Below are 22,544 nucleotides of genomic sequence, written 5' to 3'. Positions count from 1 at the left end.
TATACAGTCTACAGCCTAGTTCCACTTCAATATTACCTGGACTGCAAAGTCCAGTTTGGAGCTATGGAAAGAGACAAAGGGAAGCAGAACTGGAGAAAATATTACTGAAGATAGGGCTGACCTTTATGCTCAGCCAGCAAGGAATGAGCAATTTTCCAAACAAACAATCACATGAGTCTGAACAACAGATAGTTTTAGGTGGCATAAAGCTTGACTTCAAAATGACTCATTCCTTCTTCTCCCTGCTAGAGCCTGAAAACATTAAAACAGAACATTAGACAAGGTTCTTGGATAACTGGGACTCCACTGAAGATTAAACACTACACAATGAATTCAAGAATCCAGTCTCTTATCTGTCTCTTATAATAGCTCCACAGGAACAGAGATGAGATGAAAGATCCAACACGGATAGAAATGAACAAAAAAAGAACTAAATTTACACACTTTTATTAACAGCCCATTTAAAATTCTATTTCAAAGAAATAAGAAAATATGATATGAAAGGAGACAATGGAATATTACAAGACAACACTGTGATGGTGATAAACTGTACTTCTTTTTCTGGCAGCCAGCGCTTGCGCAGTTTTTACTTTGCTCTTTCTGTATGACTTGGTAAATGTCCAGTGTGCAGAGGTTATGAGCATTTCACTAAGTGAAGGTGATGCATCTTCAGGTCTAACAGCCTTTCTCCACGTAGGACGATGCATGAGAACTGGTCACACCATGCTCTTGACAAAAACTGCTTCATCGATCTGTTTTAATGCCAGGCTCCTTGCTACCTATGAATTCCATCATCAGGCAGTATTTGTAAGAAATATGGCTGCTGACATACTTAAAGTGAACCAACTGCATGTTGCTACTGTTATAATATCTTCCCCTGTTTAATACATTCTTTATCATAGGGATGCTAGATTTATCTATCAAAATACACTTGTCCTGTCAAGTCAATAACTCTCCTACAAAAACAAACAAACAAAACAAACAAACAAACAAAAAACTTATTTTTTTTTACAGTGGCATTCATGTCCTTCTACTATTTTGTTTCAACTAAACTTTCCAACCTTATTTCCTTATTCCTTATTTCCTTATTCATGAATGCTAAGATACAACTAAACTAACCTACTTCCTAATACCCAAATGCATCATGTATATGATCACCTCTCCATCAACTGTTTCTTAGTCTATAATGCTTCCAACGATGCATTTTCTTTCTTTCAAAAGGGCTTTCTATGGATATCTCTTTTCTCAGTCCTTTCCCTAAGCAAGAACTAATGGCTTTTTACTTCCTTTTCCTTTCATATGTTGTTTGCACTTTTACATAGCATTTGAAATTTTACGTTAACACAGCCTTTAGCTTTTTAATGAGATACTTTTCTAATAGTGGGAAATGTGTACCACACTGATCAAAACACAAGTGGAGTGATTACTTTTCTACTTTGGTATCTTAGTATGAAAAATTATAACAAGAATATCATAGTCTGGGTCGTTTAAACAACATTTGTTTATCACAGATATGGGGGCTGGAAAGTCAAAGATCAGGGTGCAGGCATGGCCAGGTTCTGGTGAGGGTCTCCTTCTTGATTTCCTCATGTGGAAGAGACAGAGAAAGATAAAGCAAACTTTCTTGTGTGTCTCTCCTTACAAGAGCACTAATCTTACCATGAGGGCTCCACCTTTATGACCCAATTACTTTCCAATGACCCCACTGGGGATTAGAGTTTCTGCCTATGAATTTGGGGGTAGGGCAAACACAAACATTCAGTCCCTAGCATTGACGATAAACTGACAAAATGTTGCGAGTTTAGAAGGTGAATAATACACTATTTTAAAACTACGTCATGAAGAGAAAGGGATAGAGAAACAGGTCACAAACATTTGGAGAAAAAAATATAAAAATGAATAATATCAGATAGCTTCCAGTGTTCAAAGAAACAGGCGCCTGTCTTTGAAAAATTGTTTCATACAAGACACTGCATTTAGTAGAGTGGCATTAATCCTGTGTTCAAGATTTTAGCTAAATTTAGGAAAGACTTTTGTTGCCAAACTCAGAGATGAAAAGAGCTGCTGTGTGAAGTAGTACACTAGCATGCTCTGAATGTGCATAAACAAAAGCTGCATGACCTTGTTTGGTTTGTTTGTTTGTTTTTTAGAGACAAGTTCTCACTATGCTGCCCAGGCTGGTCTCGGACTTTTGGGCTCAAGCAATCCGCTTGCCTCGGCCTCCCAAACTGCTGGGATTACAGGCATGAGCCACCGTGCCTGGAAGTTATGTGTACACAAGATGTTCAGCGATTTCTAAGTTTCCTTCAAATGCTAAAATTCTAAGATTCTAGACATGTTTGCACTAAACTTTTCATACAGGATCTAATATAGCATGTGCTTATCTGCTAAAACTGATTAGATCTGTATAGCATAGCCAACAGTTCAACACAGAATGCCAAGAAATAGAATCCCTATTAAATGAGAACAATCACATTCAGATGCTCTCCGATATTTTAATACTCAGTTTTTCACTCATGTGCACTTAATTATTGGTCTAGAAAGTCTAAATGAAAAATAATTTGTCCAACTGTGAATTTGTAACCCTTAAACCTTTAAAGTATACAAAGTTGCTTATGATTTACCAACATTTGATCAGATTTTAGAAGAAAATAAATGTTATTACTAAAAATTCATGTAAGATATTGTGCTATTAATGTACTTCTCTGTAAATGCACAGTACATTAATATAATAAACACAATTTATCATCAGATACAGAGCAAATGCAAATATAAACCTTCTCAAGCAAATCCTTTCCACAAGAGATTTTAACATGCATAACAACTTATTTAATTTTTTTTCAAAGAATCTCTTTAAGCAGCATTCTAAATTAAGTCCCAAACTGTTGTCTTGCCAAGACTCCTGGTTTATTTCACTTAAGTTAAGCCTGATGAGCTCCAGGTACACATAGTATTGCAGAGCCCTTACTTCTAGTCTATGCAGAAGAAACAAGATGAGAAAACCAGTGGACCAGAGAGAATGACTGTGAGAGAGATCATGCTTTCAGAAGACAGTTGTAATCACCATGCACAGGAGAGACTGAACAGGGGCAGGCTAAAGGCAAGGCAATGTCCTCATGTTCTGAGGTAACCAAGGTGAGATGAAACAGATTTAAATGAGGATGGAAGAAAAATGTGAATGGGAGAGGACGTAGACAAAACTATCTCCCCCTTCCTTTGAATTATCGCTTGGCCTGCACTAATGTGGACTTTTAGCATCTCTGGGCTGGTTTGCTACGAAAGTCTCTAAACTTCTTACTCCTTGAACTTTTCTCTTTAAAATTATCCCATTTTATGAGTATTTATAGGGTGAAAGTATAAACAAATGAATGGTGTCACATTAATTTTTCTATTGTCCATTTTTCATGATTTGTTCCTCTACTCAAGATGTCACTGATTCTCCATTCTTCATAAAATAGAGTTTAAATTCAAAGTGCATCACATTTTGACCCTTATCTAACAGATGACTTCTTTACTTTATCTTGCTTGCCTTCCTTTGATCAACTCTTCACATCAGACAGCCTAGACTCATTACGATACCCATAATGCAATATATGCATTTTCGCCTCTGTACCTTAGCTCATGCTGTTTCCCTACGTACATCTCTCCACATACCCCAAGAAAATCCTGTAAAACTTATTTTGCCATTTGTTGAATTGATTTTAATAACATAAGAATATAACTAACAGACAAGAACAATGCATATTGTTTAAAAGTGTGAGTGTCTTCATATGATGTAACTTTTCCCCTTTTTTGTTTTAACTTCATTCATGGCTATCTTATTCTAGATTTTCATAAAACTATTTTTAAATGGTGCTTATTGATGGCTACCAGACTGAATTCAACTTCTTTCCTTTCCCCTACCAAAAACTGATACGTACATGCCAGGTACAATATTAGCATGATATTTGGGATTTTATATGAATCTGATAACTTCATAAAATATGCTTTTCAAAAGATGTCTGATATTTTTCTCTAAGGCATATTTACATTTTCACTAACTCTGCTTCCTCAGGTCTTGCTATAAATTTCCTTTGTGGCCCCAAATGTGACCCATCACAGCTATATGTATCCACAATGCATAATTTTCCTAAGATGAGCAGCTGCAACTGCCTGATTCTATTAATTTGCTCATCAAAGTATGCTAATATTATTTTTGAAATAGAGACTAACCTTTTTAACATAATGCATTGTATATTTATTTGCAAAATAATTTGCTTTACTTTTTACCATATATCATGTCTCTTTGAAATAAAGATTTTAGAGTGAAAATATTATGTTCCAAATAGCAAAATATGTAAAATGCAGAAAATAAAAAAGAAAATTTCACCATAGTCCTATTAGTATCATATAAGCATTGTGTCCATTCCAATGCCTTTTCTTCTTTGAATGTATTATTTACATCAAAGTGACAATATTTTACATTTGTTTATATTGCACATATTCCACTTAATATTATGCATAATCATTGTTCATATTTTTACACTTTGCAAATATTACTCTTAACATGGAAAGATCATCCTTCATAGAAATCTGTCTCACTCTATTTCCTTACTATATGCCTACTATGTGGGTCACAATTTTCAGCATTAAAATTATCAATATATTTATAAATTTATAATAAATATCATAAATAGTGCTATGTGTTTTAAGTGGCATTTCCTAGGTAACAGATGCCAAGACTAGTATTTGCTTACAGAAATTTTATCAGGGAGTGATCTCAGGAGCAAAACTCATAAGAAAGAGAAAGAAACTAGGCAGAGGGAGACATTCAACTATGATGCAGTTACAACAGAGGAAACTCCACAGAAAGCTCTGGAGTTGAGGTGGTCTCTCAGAATTGTCCATGATGGAGGAAATGGGTAAAGTATTTGTACTTGTGCATTGAACCTATCACATTATGTTTACTTATGTTCCCTGGGGACATAAAGTCTGGCAAAGTAGCTCCCTTTAAGCAAGGGCAATTCTTGGAGAAGGACTCAGCTTGAGCTATCAGCAGCGAACATTCCTGGCACCTGGGAGTATAACTGCCTTGGTCCTAAGGAAGGGAATCTAGGCAGCACACCGCACTATCCATTACAGTTCACCCTTTATACCACTCAGATTCACTTGCTTCATATATGTTCATATTATCTTGTGGAGAGGAACTTAAAACAGGATAGTGAGACAAATCACAGCTCTCACAGATGCTGCTGGTCTCAAAGCACTTCCTTCTTACAATGCATTTTTCCCAACCAATGACAATGAGCCAAGAACTGGGCTATGGATTCAGTCCACCAACTGTGAATCAGATCACAGCTAAAACTCCATTTATTCATTTTTTTGCACCTATTCACTCCCACTCTAATGTGGGGGGTAAGGCGTGCTTAATAACGGCTTTCCAGGTCCCCGGATATTGATGTCAGCTTAATTCCTGTGTCCAACAGACCTTTAAATAGCTGGGCAACCCCCTTATTCTCGTGTTTAGTTACCCAGGTGAATGACTGTAAATCTCTTTGAAAACAACGGATGAAGTAATTTTATACCCTTGGTATTGCAGGGTCTTTCTTCATGGGGATCTATATTCTTCTTCAGTTCATGGATTTGGAGTCTGAGAACTGGCTCAGGTGAAGAAAGTAGGCATGGTATCCTAGGCGTATATTGGGATAGCTGCCCTCATCCTTTGAATTTCTTTTGGTTGACTATTTTAATACCTTTATTGTCTTCCCATTTATATTTCTCCTAGGAACACATGGCTTAATAATTATATCCAAAGCTTCCTGAGTACTAGGCGTCCCCTATGCTGCCATTCCAAGTGTGACAACTCATTACAGTAATTGCACCCAACATACTTCTGATGTTAAAATGCCACAACTTGGCCAGTATTATTTCCAAATCTTATTATCGCCATTTTTCAAGAAAGTATTTCTCTAATACATTAGATATCTTTCTCATAGTCCTTTTGATGACTACTTATCCTGAATCTTTCAAATGCCTGAGATATTGAACCCTCCAGGGTATGGCCTCTGAAGAGAATCCTACCCTATTTCATGTCAGGTGGAAGTTTTAATAATCAAAATTCTACCATATGCCTTTAGTCCACCCAGAGCCAATGGCATGACCCTCCTTGCTGCCACCTGGTGAGTTAGCTGAATTGAGTGTTTTTGTTACCATTGAGGGTCTCTTCATGTAGTTGAGAACAGTGAGGAGATATGTGTATATTAATCATGTATATACAAATCTCTTCATGTGGTTTCAGTAGAAAATATTTGTGACATTCCCAAAAGTGAAAATCTCAAGTTTTGTGTCCTAGGAATAAACCAGTGATTTCCATTTGTTGTAAAGAGCTAATACCTATGATAATCGTTTTTAATCATTTTCTTACAACATGGAAGGCCAGAGGCAGTGGCCATAAACTTCTAAGGGAAAAACTACCTATGACTGCCTATGGTTTTTTAAAAAGAACATTATTTTCAGAAAATGGGGATGGTATATGTTCTTCATATCAAACTTCTGTTGGTGAGTTTTGTATGATGTGCCAGGTTTGGCTGATTAATTACATTATATAAAAAACATATTTCAGCCTGAAGGGTTCATCTTCTTGTTACATAAGTTTACTTACATTCTCTTCTTGAGCATAGGACAAAAAAGAAATGAATGACCAAGGCTGATTTTAACCTTATAGGACTGGGTACCATGCCAATTTCTTTCATGTATGTCAATTCATATAATCATCACAATACCAGGTAGAGGCATTAGCCCTATTTTTGATGTGATAAAAAGACTTCCATCAGTTAAGTATTCTATCCAAAATTAAAATCTGGACATGATACGGGCAAGATTTAAGCCCAGGAATGCTTGATTCTAAAGTCTAACCTATCCTAGCTGTTGTCAAGAGAAGAGAAAACTGTGATTGGACTATATCCTATGTAATTGTTCTCCAAAATCTCTTTATGAAGAAGGCAGATAATCAAAATGTGATTTTCCTAGATGCTTTCTTGGATGAGAAAAAGTAAATCTCTTTCTTCCTTATGTGGCCTCATGATAAAACTCAAATCACAGTACATCAATTCTCTATTATTGTATATAACTTAAGAATGTTTTGTGCTTGTAAATTAGGTTATAAATAACCTTATGGGAAGCCTCCAAGGGAAAAGAAAAGGGAGGGGATAATTCTATTCTTAATACCAACACAGAAGCTTCCAGTAAATAATTCCACCAACTCTAAAAACAAGAGCTGAATAATGAAAAACAAGCACTCCTGTAGGGAGAAGCTTGGCAACTCAAACACATAAACTGTGAGATTCAGGGACAATGCAGGAAAACCCTACTTCTGCAGCAGCCTCAAGTTATTCTAAGAGAGAGACCTTCTTTAAAGGCCTTGATGGCTAGAGAGAAACAGAACTGCAGAGAAAAGGACACACCACAGCAACTGAGTTCCAGAGAGCTCTCCATGGTGCTGCTGAAGTCAATCTAGGCTTCCTCTGATGGTTCCTAAACGATGTTTAAGTTACTTTTACTCTTTTTGAGTTAAGGTACTTCCTAGTTCTAAATATCTATAAAACTGGAACACAGTTTCCTGTTATTTACATAAGAGTGTTTTCACTTCCCTTTCCCTAACTAAATTATGTCTCCACATTTAGCATTTAATAGGACCTGCTTTGATGTTTATCATCCACCTTATGTTAAGACACCATGCCTCAGTTATCATTAAATGTAGTTTGTTGTCCAGTCCTGCAGAAACCCATCATTGTTCTATGTGAGGCAGAATGTGCTTTCTCTTAGTCATCTTAAGAGAAATAATGGGCTGACCAGATGTATCTCCCTGAGGTCTTTTGAAATCAAGTGATAAAGTTGCCAATCTGCTTGCATCACTATCCAGCTACAAATAAGCATGGTTTTCTAAGCTTAAGAGTCTTAGTTCAAGGCTGGTTGCATTTATTTGCCAAGAATTATAAGTACATCCATTAGAATTTTGATTTTGGAAATAAATTTCTTCCATATTTTACCCTGGGGGGGGAAAAAGACCTCTCTGGGGATCCAGATCGAAGAGTATCATCTTTATCATCATCATTATCATCACCATACAACAATTACCATATAGAAAAAGAATAATTTATCTCCTACCACCATTATGCTAAGGTAAAAATGGTGGCTACTGACCTTCATTTTTATCATCTTGTAATCATAAACTAATCACTGGCTTTAAGGCATTAAGGAGCTTCCAAGTCAACATGGCAGACTGAATAAGCACACTTTCCTTACCTCCCTCCACAAGTTTAAATGACAGCAGACAGTACAAACTATGGTGAATTTTCAACACTACTAGAAACCAAATGAGGCAGACTAACATTAGTAAATCAGACAGTTTGATAAAATTTTAGAAGATAAAATGTACATGTGGCTCTAACTTCTGCTTCCGTAAAGATGGGATGGTAATAATTTTCCCCATTCCTCCCATTAAGTATAACTAAAATGCCTAAACATTATATATAAAATAAACGTAAGAATACTCTGAAAGGTAAGGAGAATAAGGCATACCAGCTAGGGGCCTTGATACCCAAAGAATGACACGGTGATAAGCTTCCTCAGTTTGATTTTGCCTCATAGATCCCAAATTTAAAGCTAAAGAAACTGGAAAATCCTATGGGCACACAAAGACTAAAAGCCATAAGAAAAGCTTGTTCTCACTAACCAAAGAACCAGGAAAGATACATACTAGCAACAATTTTAGGTAATAACTGTACTATTCTAGCCAAATATCAGGAAAAAAAAATATGGCCTCATCCTCACCCATACCAGCAAAGGCTGAGAGGGGAGCCTAGAGTTACACCCTCACCAAGCTGTAATAAGGCATCTCATCCCCATCTGAGTGATGCCAGAGAAGGCTGCGTAGGCAACCAGGTCCTTCATTCCTGCTGTACCAATGCCAATTTCCTGATTGTGATATTATACAATCATTTTAGAAGATGTTACCATTGGGAAAGACATATATGGGATCTCTTTGCATTATTACTTACAACTGCATATAAACCTATAATACAATGGTCTCAAAATAAAAATAAAACATTTATCATATATATGTAATTACAAAACAGAAATGTTATTATATACAGAGGACTAAGAACACAAATACAAAATCCATGCTATAGAAACACCAAAAAAAATCAGAGGAAAAAATAATAATTTTTTTTTAACTGAAGCATGTATTAAGTGTCTGGTGGACACATAAAAAGATCCCCTCCCGGTTGCGTGCTTAAATGCCAAACATAACAAAAAAGGTAATAAAATCTTTTACAGAGAGATTTCAGCTACCTACAAAGTAATAAGAACTTGTTTGAAGCCAAGGTTCTCATCAGAAATAATGGATGGCTAACAACTATAAGATAATAATTTCAAAGTTCTCATCAGAAATAATGGATGCCTAACAACTATAAGGTAATAATTTCAGAGTACTAAGAAAAAAATTATTTTGAAGTCATATTTGTATATCTAGTAAAACTGTCAAACAGATGTGAAAACAAAATAAACACATTTTAGAGAATGCAAATATTCTGCAATTTTACCCCCCCCATACTCTTTCAGATAAGTGAACAATGACAAAAGCCCTTAAGATTGAGTCTAACGAAACAAAAGAAAGAGAGAGAAAAGAGTTCTAAGATTTGCAGCAATGAAATTCGAGCAAGAGCTAAGATGACACAAAGGTGAAATTTTTTAAATTTCTAGGATGACAGCTCTAATATAGGACTAATAAAAAGAGGGAAAAATTATAACATAAAGAGCTTCTAGAATATTCCCAAGAGGAAAGTTGATTATTTGAAGTATATAATATAATTGATAGACTAAGTAATGATAATGTAATTTTAAATTTTATTTATTAATTTCTATACTGATTAAAATTGTATTGACTTCTGCATGTTTTCAGTATGTGGCTAAACAGTAAGTAAACCTCCAACCAGTTTGTAAAGTACTTGATAAATCTTGATAATATGGTGAATCCTATTGACATGCTGAAGCTTAACAGTGATTCTATTCTCTAAGTCCACACATACAACAAGACTTTATCGTGAAACTCTCTCAGTATTGTAGCAGCTAGTATTCATTTCTGAAAGTTTCTTGTTAGGCCACCTCATTTTTAAAAATGTCTTATTCTCATTGTATGACAACTGAATCCCAAATTTGGATGATTTCTAACTTCAAGGCAAAGCAACAGCTATATTGCTACAGTTTGACCATCCCAAATCTGAAAATTCAAAATCTGAAGTGCTCCAATATTCAAAACTTTTTGAGCACTGATATGGCATTCAAAGGAAATGATTGTTGAAACATTTCAGATCTTGGGTTTTAAGATCTGGGATACTCTACTGGTAAGTATAATGCAAACTCTGAGAAATACAGAAATCCAAAGTATTTCTGATCCCAAGTATTTTGGATAAAGGAATATTCAACCTATGTAGCTATTGTGATAATTTATTGTATCAATTTGACTAGACCAAGGGGTGCTCAGGTGTTTGGTTAAACATTATTCTGGGTGTCTGTGAGGGTGTTTGGGATAGGGTTAACATTTGAATGGATAGACTGAGTAAAGCAGACTGCCCTCCCCAGTGGGGAGAGGCTTCATCCAATCTGTCAAAAGTCTGAATAGAAAAAAAAAAGGCAGAGTAAGAGTCTCACTCTAATTATCTGTCTTTGAGCTGGAACACTGATCATCTCCTGCCTTTGAACTTGAACTTGGAATATAACTTATACCATAGGCTCTTTTGGTTCTCAGACCTTTGGACTTGAACTGGACCTATACCATCAGCCCTGCAAGGTCTCAAGCTTGGTGAGTGCATATTCTGGGACTTCTCAGCCTCCATAACTGCATAAGCCAACGTCTTATATAATAAATCGCCTTATATATTTGTTCTATTTCTTTGGAGAACCCAGACTAATGCAGCTGTCCTGGAGAGAGTCTTCAGAATTTACAGGAATAATTTACCTTTTTTTTCTTTTTAAATTCAGGATGTTTGGAAATACTCATCACAGGAGCCAGGGAAATTTGTGGAGAGTAGAATTGATAGAATCACAGGTGTATTGCATTTGTTATAGAGATATAGCTATACTGATACAAAAAAATAGAAATCGCCTGCCCCTTAACCTATGCAAAGCTAGTCAGGTACAGAGAACAGTCAGTACATAGAATGAATTGTAGGGATGATATATTTATTCCTTTGTACTTGAATGTAGGAATTAAAGTTCCTCGAAACACTGCCTGATTATCAACTCTTCCTTTCACAGAACATAAGCAAAACACCCCTTACAGTGCCAACTGAAGAATCATCAAAATTATTTTAGAGGGTCATCATTGTGAAAGAGAGTACAGGTGCCCACCCATTCCTCCTCGTCCTAAGACCAAGTTATATTCAATTTTTCAGCCTCCCCTGTCATGATTGTCCGTTGTCTGAGTTCTAGCCAGTGGAATGCAAAAGGCAATGATGTGCAACACATCCAGATCTGACCCATAGGAATCTATTGCATGTGATTCTCCCTGCTTTTTACCCTACAGGGAAAAGGAATAAAATTGAGCAAAGTGGCCTTGGAAACCATATGGAGAAGACAGCAGCGCAAGAAGGTGGAAGGAATACGGGCCACTGAATCAAAAGGAGCAGCACCATCACTTAGACTTCATGTGAGAGATGGTTGAGTCAATGTACACATTTTGGTTTGTTTGTTACAGCAGCTTTCATTAAATTAAGTAATGACCTTATACTCATCCATGTTTTAAAACTCAAATTGAAGACTTTCAAAATGTAGTTGACTTTAGGTCATAGAAACACACTGTTATTAATTGCACATCAAATGGTATCCCAGGATGAAACCAAAGAGGCATTTCTCTTGTGAGTTTACTGTGGCTTCTCCAAATGCAGAAGAGAAGAAAATCAAGCCCACTTTTTTTTAAAAAAAAAAAAAAAAAGCTATTCAGAACATAAAGAAAAAAGAGTATTTTAGTTTTCAGAACAATCTTAAGAGAATAGAACAAGAGTATTATTCATGGATAAGAGAGAATCACTCACTTCTAAGATTCTGGCAATATAGTACCAGAATTTTTAAATATAAGAAAACAAAACTAACCCTTTAAATTGATACTTGAAAGATTTTAATTAAGTGTTCATGAGATAAAATTTATAAAAATGAAATGAATAGACATTTAAAAGACAAGCATGTCAATTTCATCAGTATCTACAGAAAAAACCGATGCCATTGAGTCCTAGTGTTCTAAAAGGATAAATTGATGTTCACATTTTGGAGTTTTGATCTGAAGAGAGAAAAAAACGAGGTTTTGCTGGGAAAGAAGAACACATCAAGATGCATTTACATTGCTGCTGAAAAGAATAAGAGAGGGCCTGCATTCACTCATCTTTTTTGTTCTCTAGTTCAGGACATGTCTAAACATAGCCAATAAAATGAAATCCAGAGTAGTTCATATGCTTTGTTCAGTTTTTCATTATAGATAATTACTTTTTATCCATTTGTCATTAGCTCAATGACTCAGACCAAAAAGTGTTATTTTCTTCTTTCCTTTGTGTTACTTCAATTGTTCTATTATTTGAAGCAAAATGATAACAAGTCACATTGTCAGTGGTTGAAGGTGTAGAAGTATTAAATTTTATTAATAATTAGTAATTCTCTTTAATTCAGTAAATGTTAAATAACCCTAGAGCACTCATTTCTCTATTTTACTTTTTGTCAAGGTTGACACCTGCTTCCTACAACTAGACACTTTTAACAGATTTCAAAATCAAAAGAAATGAACAGCAATTTTAACACAAGAAAAATACATCAATTATATGTACATACATAGGCATATGTACAGAATTAATCTAGTCCATTATCAAAGATTATATAATCCTTAGCCTGCTTGCTGAACTGAATATTATATATAGCTTTTACCTATTGTCAGCTTTTAAGAAAGACTTACAACGTCCTACTTCTGAGAACTAAACCTCTCAGCCAAACTACATTCTCACACCATGAAATAAAGCAACTTTAGGGTTTTCATTCATTTTGTTCTAGGTTAAGTAACAACTAAGAAGAAGCACACTTAGCTCAGTCAGCTATGCATGTGATGAACAAAATGTCACTTTTTTTACACACTACCCTTGTCACTGTTTCTCAATGTGGTAATGCCTCTGCATACAAAATGTAGAAATAAACGTTCCCATCTCCAGGCTGCCTGAATGAATACAGTTCACGAGTCTGTGTGTTTACTTTCAAAAAGATAGGCATTGCTTCAGCCCCCTCCCATCAATGTATCATAATGCTGCCTTAAGCTTAAAATGTAGCTCGTAAACAAGAGGTTTCTGCTATTGTCTAAAGCATTCTAAGCCTGAAAACTATTGGCAGCTTAACAACCACTGCAAAGAACACTGTTGTAAAACACAGACTCCTTTTGTTTTATTATGAATTCCTAATTTAGTCAATATCTCACTAAGTTCTTTTCTACACTCTCCCTTAACCATCTTACGCACACACACACACACACACACACACACATACACACATGCAATTTCAAAGCTGTTAGAAATTACAAATAGGTAGGACTTGAAGGACTGAATAAGCAAATGCTATAGTGAAGCTAAGGGAGCTCCTCACGCCCCAGCCTTGGACAGTGATGTTCCAAGTCATTAGCATGTCCTGCGTTTTTGGCAAGATTCCCTAGGTAGGACTGGGCTTCCAAACGCTTAGAGCCAGAATGTGTAGCAGCAGCACTTTTTGCCTTCCACATGAATGATCACAGCTCTCAGAGCTAGCAGATTGGTGGCCGCTGGTAACACTGGGCCCTTGAGTCAAATGAAAGGACCAGTGAATTGATTACATATTCTTTATTCTGTCACAAGTCCTACTTATTAAGGGCTCTTACACTATCTGGCACTATTTTAGGCATTTTGTGATGGCCATACATCTGAGTCTTATGTAGCAATTCAAAGAGCTATTCAATCCCTTGTTACAGCCAAACCCCTTGCCAGCAAGCCATGCCTTGACTACATTATGTACTTATTGGCAGATGGAGTCTGGGGAGTTCTGTGAAATTGTGAAGGCAAAAGCACAGAGACCCAGTAGGGCAGAGGCAAGGGAGAAAAACATAAATATGTCTCAAGGGCAGCAGGGTAGGGCTAGGATAAGCTAAAAATCATCTATAAATTGGGAGATTCTGGATTTATAAAAAAGTCCAAGTTTCTCATTAATAAAGAGTTTTAGAGACATTTTATTAAAAAAACACAGTAACCCTCCCCCTCCCCCCCAAAAAAAGCACGTAATTTTACTGTAAATTCAGAGTCTAAGAGATTGTAGGTATTTCTAAACAGTTTGTGTTTTAGTTGGCTTTCCAGGCAGATATCTTAGCCGACCAGTTACATTCACTTAATCTTGTATTGATTTTCTAAGAAACTTCCTGTTTCTATGACTACCCTAATCAGTTAACTCTTGTAAGTAGGAAGACAATTTTTTCTTTTTCTTTTCTATCAAAGCCGAATACTTTCTAATTTTTTCTTTTTCTTTTTTTCTGTTTGCCACCCTGAATACTCCCTTTCCACAAAAAAAAAAAAAAAAAAAAAAAAAAAGTCTGATGTTGTGCCTTACCTATCACGGAAATACATTTTGTTGGTAAAAATGGTTGCTGTCTTTCATATTTGAAAACATTTGAAGATTTTTGCACAGAGAAAGCATATAAACTTACCTTGGACCAATATTATGAATGGCTTATCACTTTGTTGTTATATTAATAAAAGTTATCCTTGGTGATCAGCAAAGTGGCTTCCCCTTGGCCTTCATGCTTTATCCTAGAGAACTGGGAGGCTAATAGTCACTTAAAGAGATGGCTCACTGGGAAAAGAACATGGTTCTGCCATGCGGTGTCAAAAAAGTCCAAAGCCACAGGCCAGCCATTTGTGACATCTTTAGTTAGAATTGCACTGTCTATTCCAATAAATAAATTTCACCTATATTAATATGTGAGAATTTGAGTATTGGTGGGAGAAGTTACTTTGATCTGAGCCTACCTACTGTTTCTTAGAAACAGGCCTGGAAACAATAGAAACAAGATTCATGAAAGACATTGGCCTTTGGAGTCAGACAACCAGGACTCAAGCCTTGAGGTCAGCTGAGAAAACTTGATTAAGCATCTTAAACTCCTCAAAGTTTCACTTCCTATCCTATAAAAATGAGACTATTATAATTATTTCAAAGGTGGTATGGGGTTCTCCAGATCTAACTTCTCTTTCCTTTGATCTAAGTCAGTTCATTTATCCAAAGGATGTTTCCAAATCAGAGAAGTGATTAGGATGCTTTCCTGTCCCAAACCTCCCTATATTTGGAGAGCACAAGCCACACCATATAGTATGCAGTCTTTTATGCCATAGAGCCAGGGTTCAGCCTGCCCTTCCAGCCTCATCTCTGGTTATTTTCCTCAATTCATTTCCCATTCTAGCCATGTTAATACAGATTCATCCTGTGTTTTCAGCCCCCTATAGCTGCATGTTTGTTCAGAGTACTTCCCCAATGTTGCTCTGATCAGTATGTCCTACCTGTTTTTGTCCACTTAGCAAACTTTCACTCAACTTTCAAAGCCAAGGATAGCTCCACAATCCTCACCTTTCCAGCTATGCCTAGAGCTTCTTCCAAAAGAAACACAGGTGAAATTTCACCAGGTGAAACAATCTCATTCTTTGCTTCTAACATGAAAATGTATTTTATTTGACACCCAACATAAAAATATCTAGATGCTATTTAACTACAGAAAAATTGTAGAAAAGACTGCAGTCTGTGTATCTGTATCTAAAGTCTGAGCACCAAAAGAATACTATGGTATTATTCAGATTCCCAAAGTCATTCAACTTTAATTCATCACAGTTTATGTAGTCACTGACTTGTGAGAAAGGCAGCACACATCCAGAAAAATATGGCACCTGAAAAATGAGCTGATCCACATCAATTACTTTAATCATTGATATTACCTGCCAGGTAGAAGACGTATCATTTCTAATATAATAACACTTGAAAATTGGTATAAATGAATAGACTGAGATTCAAACAAGTGCCCAAGTATTTGATGCATGGCAGGGTTGCCATCCAAATCCTGTTCTGTCTGCCTTTAGAAGCTTTTCTATTTCTACCCTCCCACATTGTCCCTTAATTGATCTTATACTATATTCATGTATGAATATATATAATAATGGTTCATGTATCTTTATACAAGGTATATGGTGCTAGCCAGGTCACTTTAAATACTCTTGCTTAAGAAAAAAAAAGTCAGGAAACAACAGGTGCTGGAGAGGATGTGGAGAAATAGGAACACTTTTACACTGTTGGTGGGACTGTAAACTAGTTCAACCATTGTAGAAGTCAGTGTGGTGATCCCTCAGGGATCTTGAACTAGAAATACCATTTGACCCAGCCATCCCATTACTGGGTATATACCCAAAGGGTTTTAAATCATGCTGCTATAAAGACACATGCACACGTATGTTTATAGCGGCAATATTCACAATAGCAAAGACTTGGAACCAACCTAAATGTCCAACAACGATAGACTGGATTAAGAAAATGTGGCACGTATACACCATGGAATACTATGCAGCCATAAAAAATGATGAGTTCATGTCCTTTGTAGGGACATGGATGAAAACTGGAAACCATTATTCTCAGCAAACTATCACAAGGATAAAAAACCAAACATTGCATGTTCTCACTCATAGGTGGGAATTGAACAATGAGAGCACATGGACACAGGAAGGGGAACATCACACACTGGAGCCTGTTGTGGGGTGGGGGGAGGAGGGAGGGATAGCATTAGGAGATATACCTAATGCTAAATGACGAGTTAATGGGTGCAGCACACCAACATGACACATGTATACATATGTAACTAACCTGCACAATGTGCACATGTACCCTAAAACTTAAAGTATAATAATAATAAAATAAAAAAATAAAATAAAATGCAAAAAAATAAGTAGGTTTATGATGTGGATTGATAGGTTACAGCCAACTCAAGAGAAAAAGAGACAAGGAGTCCTCAAAACAGAGTTACATCCCATTCATAATGCACGTAAGTTTCCTCTCTGGCTGCTAGATTGATAGCCTTTCTTATTTTTGGTTCAATCCCCTATAATTTTTTTTTATGTTTTTCTAAATAAAGGTGACATGATAGCAGAATTATGGCATAAGTTCTAATTGACTTATTTAAAATCTTCTCATTTCTTCATTTTACTGACTAACTGGAAGAGGTTTATTACTGTTGTGGTGTTGATGGTCTTGGCATGGTGGTGGCTGTGTTTAGCAACCTAAAACTGTGTATGTATCTTTACTTCAAACATTTTGTGGTCTTATTTTGATATTGAAAAAAATGTTTATTCATATTCTGAATGAAACATATAGTGGTACACAATATTTGTCACATAGCAAATGCAAAGTAAAACAGTGACTTGATTTAAAAAGTCAGAAAGTGTTACTTCAGTACGAGACTAAATATGAGATCATGCATGTCACAACGGAACATTTCTAGCAATCCTATATTCTTATTCAGAATTACCATTGTTTTTAGATATACATAGAGTAGACACAGACACAGATACAGACACAGACATAGGTATAGATGTAATTATATAGCATTAAAAAGTCAATTTGAACTTAAAATAAAAATGAGTTTAAAGGTTAGTAACACATCAAATCTATTCCCAGGAAGAGCTTTTTTCTCTTAAGTGGCGTCTTAATTGGGAATTAGGAGGAATCAACCCTTCTTACTCTGTCTTGTGTTCTGGGAAAAAGGAGAAAGGGGCTGAGATATTTTTGGGGAACAGAGAGAAGGCAGCTCCAAATGTGCAGCCATTACAGGTCCATGCAGAGAATGGGATTATTTCCTTCACTAGACATAAGCACAGAGGTTTCATCTGAGTGTAGTTCCTTGGTGTTCACAGGTAGCACTTAAAGAACTTCTGATAGTAGTTACAGCTAACAAGGAAGCTCCCAAACATCTCCAAATTGTCAGTTTGTTCTCCTGCAATGACTTATCACAGTATTATTAAAAAACTCCATAAAGTAGGTTGGAAAATAGCAAGAGTCTATTCTTGAAGTGTTTTTTTTTTAATTTCTTGGGAAAGAAAAATATGAGTTCTCCAGTCCTTCAGGAGCTGAAGGCCTAGCCTAGCTCTAGTGCAAAGAGAAGACACAGGTTAAATAGGGATAACAATTATAAAAGGCTAGGTTACCATTCTGTGTTAGGTAACACAGTGGGTGGTAACCAATCTTGTTCACAAACTGAAGAACACCATATACATTGCTGGAAAAAGGGCAGAGTTAGGACTGATTCTATATGATATACACATTTCCAAACATGCATTATCTTATGCTGTCTACCATCCTGTATTAACTGTCCCTGTGGAGGTTTTTAAAAAGCATTGTTTAAGATAAGAGAGGAGCAAGGCTGTCTCACCAAGAGCAAGTCAGGAAGCCTACATCAGGAAAAACCTATATGGAGAAGAAACATCAGTGTGTCTTATTCAGTCCAGAGGCAGAAATCGAAGATTTCCAGCACCTGGAAAAGTTGCCCACTTTTAAGAGGTCAGCAGTTATCAATTTAGGTGTGTATAGATGCAGTCAGAAATTACTAATGAGTAAAAATCTAGATGACTTGGGCTTACTCAACATTGATGCCCCAGTCTAATGAATTACATCACTCAAGGACTAACTTGTAAATATTTTTAGAAGTTTAAAATCAATTCCATAAGCATTGTACACAAAGTAGCATAAAGCAAAGAGAGAGAATAGAAGGACACCCTGGAAGTTAAAAGCAACTTGACAATAGCAGGTTTATGACAGACCACTAAATAATAATATGTTTCCCATCTTCTAATTCCCAAGTAGTTAAACATTACTCACTGGAAGAAGCACTATTCCTATATAAATTCCATGTGACAGCCCCTCCCACTCACAAAAAAACCCAATGAAGTCTAAAGAAAATTTAGAGAGATGATCTTTGCATCTTAGAGACCAAAAAACATATTGATTGACTTTCCAACAGTTGAACATATTGCTGATCATATCCCAAATTCACCAGGTTAAATGAAATAATGAAGAAAATATTTAGCTAATTAATAGGCACAGAAAAAAGAAACAAAAACAAGCCTAAATAGCTAATCATTACAATCTAAAAAATGTTGCTTGTTCTGATTTTCAGATTAAAAATCTCAGCTCATTACCTGTATTTGTTTAGACAGGGAGCACTGTACTAGTGTCACAAACTCTCTTCCTTCAGCGTTTCTTCTATAATCCTTTCTTCAGTTAGTATTTTAATGTTTGTGCTCAAAAACTACAGATTTTTTTTGTTTTTGTTATTCTGTAAGTAAGACATTTTTTCATTCTAACACATTAGACAAGAGAAGTCAAACACAAGAGACCAAGGAAGTAGGTAATTTCCATATCCTACCTGCAGGCCTTCAATAGCTAATCGCAGCATACTTGGTGTGAGTTTAGAGGCTTGCTTGAAAGTGAAGTTACTCCAGTCTATGATCAAAACAAACCCATTCACTTGAAGCTCAGGATCTTCAATCATGGCTTCTAAAGAAAGTAAGATGGCACGCAAAATATCCACCAGTGTGTACCTATCGGCGACAGAAAAGTACTAAATTAGGTCTGACAACCACTTTTCCAAAAAGCTATAAAATATTTTCTAGCACACTAAAAATTCACTTTAAAATACCTTCAGAATCTTAAGGAAATAATTTTGTTTAAAAACCTATTTTAGGAAGAGGTTTAATTTATATGTACTCCAAGAACATAATCGAATTTAACATGTATTCTGCCCAAACAAATGGAAACGCTTTTTCATATTTTATCATCATTTAGTTTACCTCCAGGCCTTCTTTTGATTTTCTAAAATCTCATTCAACTAACCCAAAACTAGGCATCACACGTTTTAAGTGGTTCAAGAATGCCTTCAGTAATATTGACATTTCATATCTTCGTATTTGAAAAAACTGAGAATGAGATTTGAGTGAGTCTCATCAATAAATGAAAACACTGTACATGACAGCTATCAATAAAAGTTACTCAATTCAAATTACTTGTATTGAGTTTGTATCATAAAGAAAAGGAAAGGTGGTAGGGATAGAAAGAGAAGGAGATAAATATAAATAAAAGTGGGAAAAGTCATGGAAATTTACCTACAATAATACAAACCATCCTAATTCAAGGGTTGGATCTTTTTTTGTTGTGTTTTGTTTTGTTTTGTTTTCTGCTTTTCACCTTAGCAGGTTAGTTCCTGAAACGTTCCAGTAACCCAATAAATGCTCTTTATATTACTGTGAAAGTGACTTGACTAGAGTAGAAAGACACTGGTTGGAGATTAAGACACTGCTTCAATGGAGGCAACGGAACTAAGAACAAAAATAAGAAGCCAAATTTGAGTGGCATTTTAGACAATCTTGTTATACTGTGACAATGTGAGGACTGAAATTAGGGAAGAGTAAAAAATGACACATATTTTAGCTTCAGAGCCTGAATACATAGTAAAATTTTTAATCAATATCAATAATGCAAAAATAGGATACTGTTGGAAATGGCTGGGAATACAAAGTTTTGAATAGAACTTATTGTATTTGAGAAACATGTAGTATACCCAGAGAGGTATATCAAGCAAGCTTCTGAAACAAATGGATCCTAAACTCAGGGGAGAGCCCAAAACTGAAAATTCTGGAATTAAAAGCTTATAGACTCTAAGTTCAATGAAGTGAAGGAGGTAATGCAGTCAGAGCTAAGAGAAATATCAGATAATTATTCTAAAAAGGGAATCCCTAGAAATCTCAGCACTTTAAGAGGAGTGAGAAATTTTATGGAAGATGTTAACAATTTCAATTTTTGTACACTTTGCATTTTAAGTTTTTTCCCCGGACACACTCAGGAGAGATTTCAGGAATAGCTAGAGAAAGAGATCTGGACCTCAGGGAAGAGGCAGGATGGGGAGGGGAGTGGATTAGGAGTCGAAATCATTCCCATTTAGTGGAAATGATGAGTTCGTTAGGAAGGCAGTATGATACAGTGAAGATATATGAGGAAGTAGGTCTATTTTTACTTCTAAAAACACTTGGATGTGCTAGGAGAAAGCATAGTAGTTCAGAAAGGAAAGAATAATTAACATTAGCACTTCAGGCAATTTCTTACCATTTCAGGACCTCATTTCTTCACCTGTAAAATCAGCAGTTTGGAACAGAATCTTGTTTAGAATCCTAGCATTAATCAAGCACAGGGCATGGTGTCAGAAGACTTCAAGATGCAATCTCTGCCCAGCACCTCATTAGCCATATGGTCCTGGATATGTCGCTGATTTATAATTCTGAGGATCAGTTAACTGTCCCTATCTCATGCTATTCTCATTATCTCATTGGCCATGTTTGGGGGAGGACTGAGGGCAGCACCAGAGAGTCATCAAAGAGATGACTCAGGTGAAAACATTTGTGCAATTTTGCACAGTTCTCGGTATAAACAGGTGTTCAGTAAATGTTGGTTGGAATACACACATAGCATACTTTTTGTTAGAATGATAAGCACAGATATAGTTTACTAGGCAGAGTATAAATCAGAAATGATAATCTTTAGGATAGGCTATTAGTATTATAAAAGGCAAAAGTCAAAAGGCCTAGGGATACAGCATCCAAAAAACTATCTGAATATATAAAATAATAAAACTTTTTATAGAGCTCTGCTATGTATTTGTTATTAAATCTCTGAAACATGTGTGGGTGAACACCTTTAAAAGTCCCTTTATGGCTGGCCTACCTCCATTTTAAACATAATGGCCTGACACACTGTCAGGACCTGAAACCTATAAACACAGGCATTGGAAGGTTGGAGCAGGAAGACTGTATTTCTGGTTGAAATTCAGACCCCCACCAAAAAAAAAAAGTTTTAATTTCTGAAATTCATAATAATATCACGGTGAAGAAAATCAAGGATTCAAAAAGTCTAACTTCAAAGGTTTCCCTCATTATGAGGTTGACCATTCTTATGTTATCCATAAGAAATCAAATAGCATTAATACCAAAATGGCATTAAATAAAATTTAAATTTGAAATCAGCTTTGGAAGGATGATACATTGTATGTAGTAAAAATTAATCAAGGTACCAGTAAGGACTGAAAACAAGAGGCAATGTGTTTTAAATAACACACTTGAAGTATGGTTCTCCTAAACTGTTTCAAAATCAAGATAAACGTTGATACACATATCATTATTCCAAAGGAAATAATATAAGGCAAATCCCAAAATCAGCAATGAAGAAAAGTAGGTTTGCAAAATTATCAAGAGTAAGTCTAACCACCTTTTTTGAATTCAATATCTGGCTCCAAGAAGAGAATCAAATGATTTTTATAAAAATTACATTAATTTAGAAGTTTAGAAAAAGAAACATAAAAATACACTAGCTAACTCCATTCAATGGGCAGGTCAAAACCACTCTTAACTCCACTCCTCTGTTGTCAAACATCTCACATT

At 35.8% G+C, this 22,544-nt stretch overlaps 1 protein-coding gene across 2 annotated transcripts in view; it reads right to left on the bottom strand.

Moving 5' to 3' along the window:
• CLVS2 (clavesin 2) overlaps positions 1-22,544 on the bottom strand; it is a 76,691-nt gene that overhangs the window by 42,283 nt on the left and 11,864 nt on the right. For both annotated transcript variants that reach the window (NM_001010852.4, XM_047418196.1), the window contains exon 3: positions 19,484-19,658. In NM_001010852.4, the coding sequence (NP_001010852.2) occupies positions 19,484-19,658 (175 nt within the window). The remainder of the gene's footprint in view (positions 1-19,483; positions 19,659-22,544) is intronic.

This window comes from Homo sapiens, chromosome 6, assembly GCF_000001405.40.
Source record: "Homo sapiens chromosome 6, GRCh38.p14 Primary Assembly".
Classification (NCBI taxonomy): Eukaryota; Metazoa; Chordata; class Mammalia; order Primates; family Hominidae; genus Homo; species Homo sapiens.
Note: the sequence above shows the minus strand (reverse complement) of the source record. Positions and strands in the feature narration are given on the sequence as shown.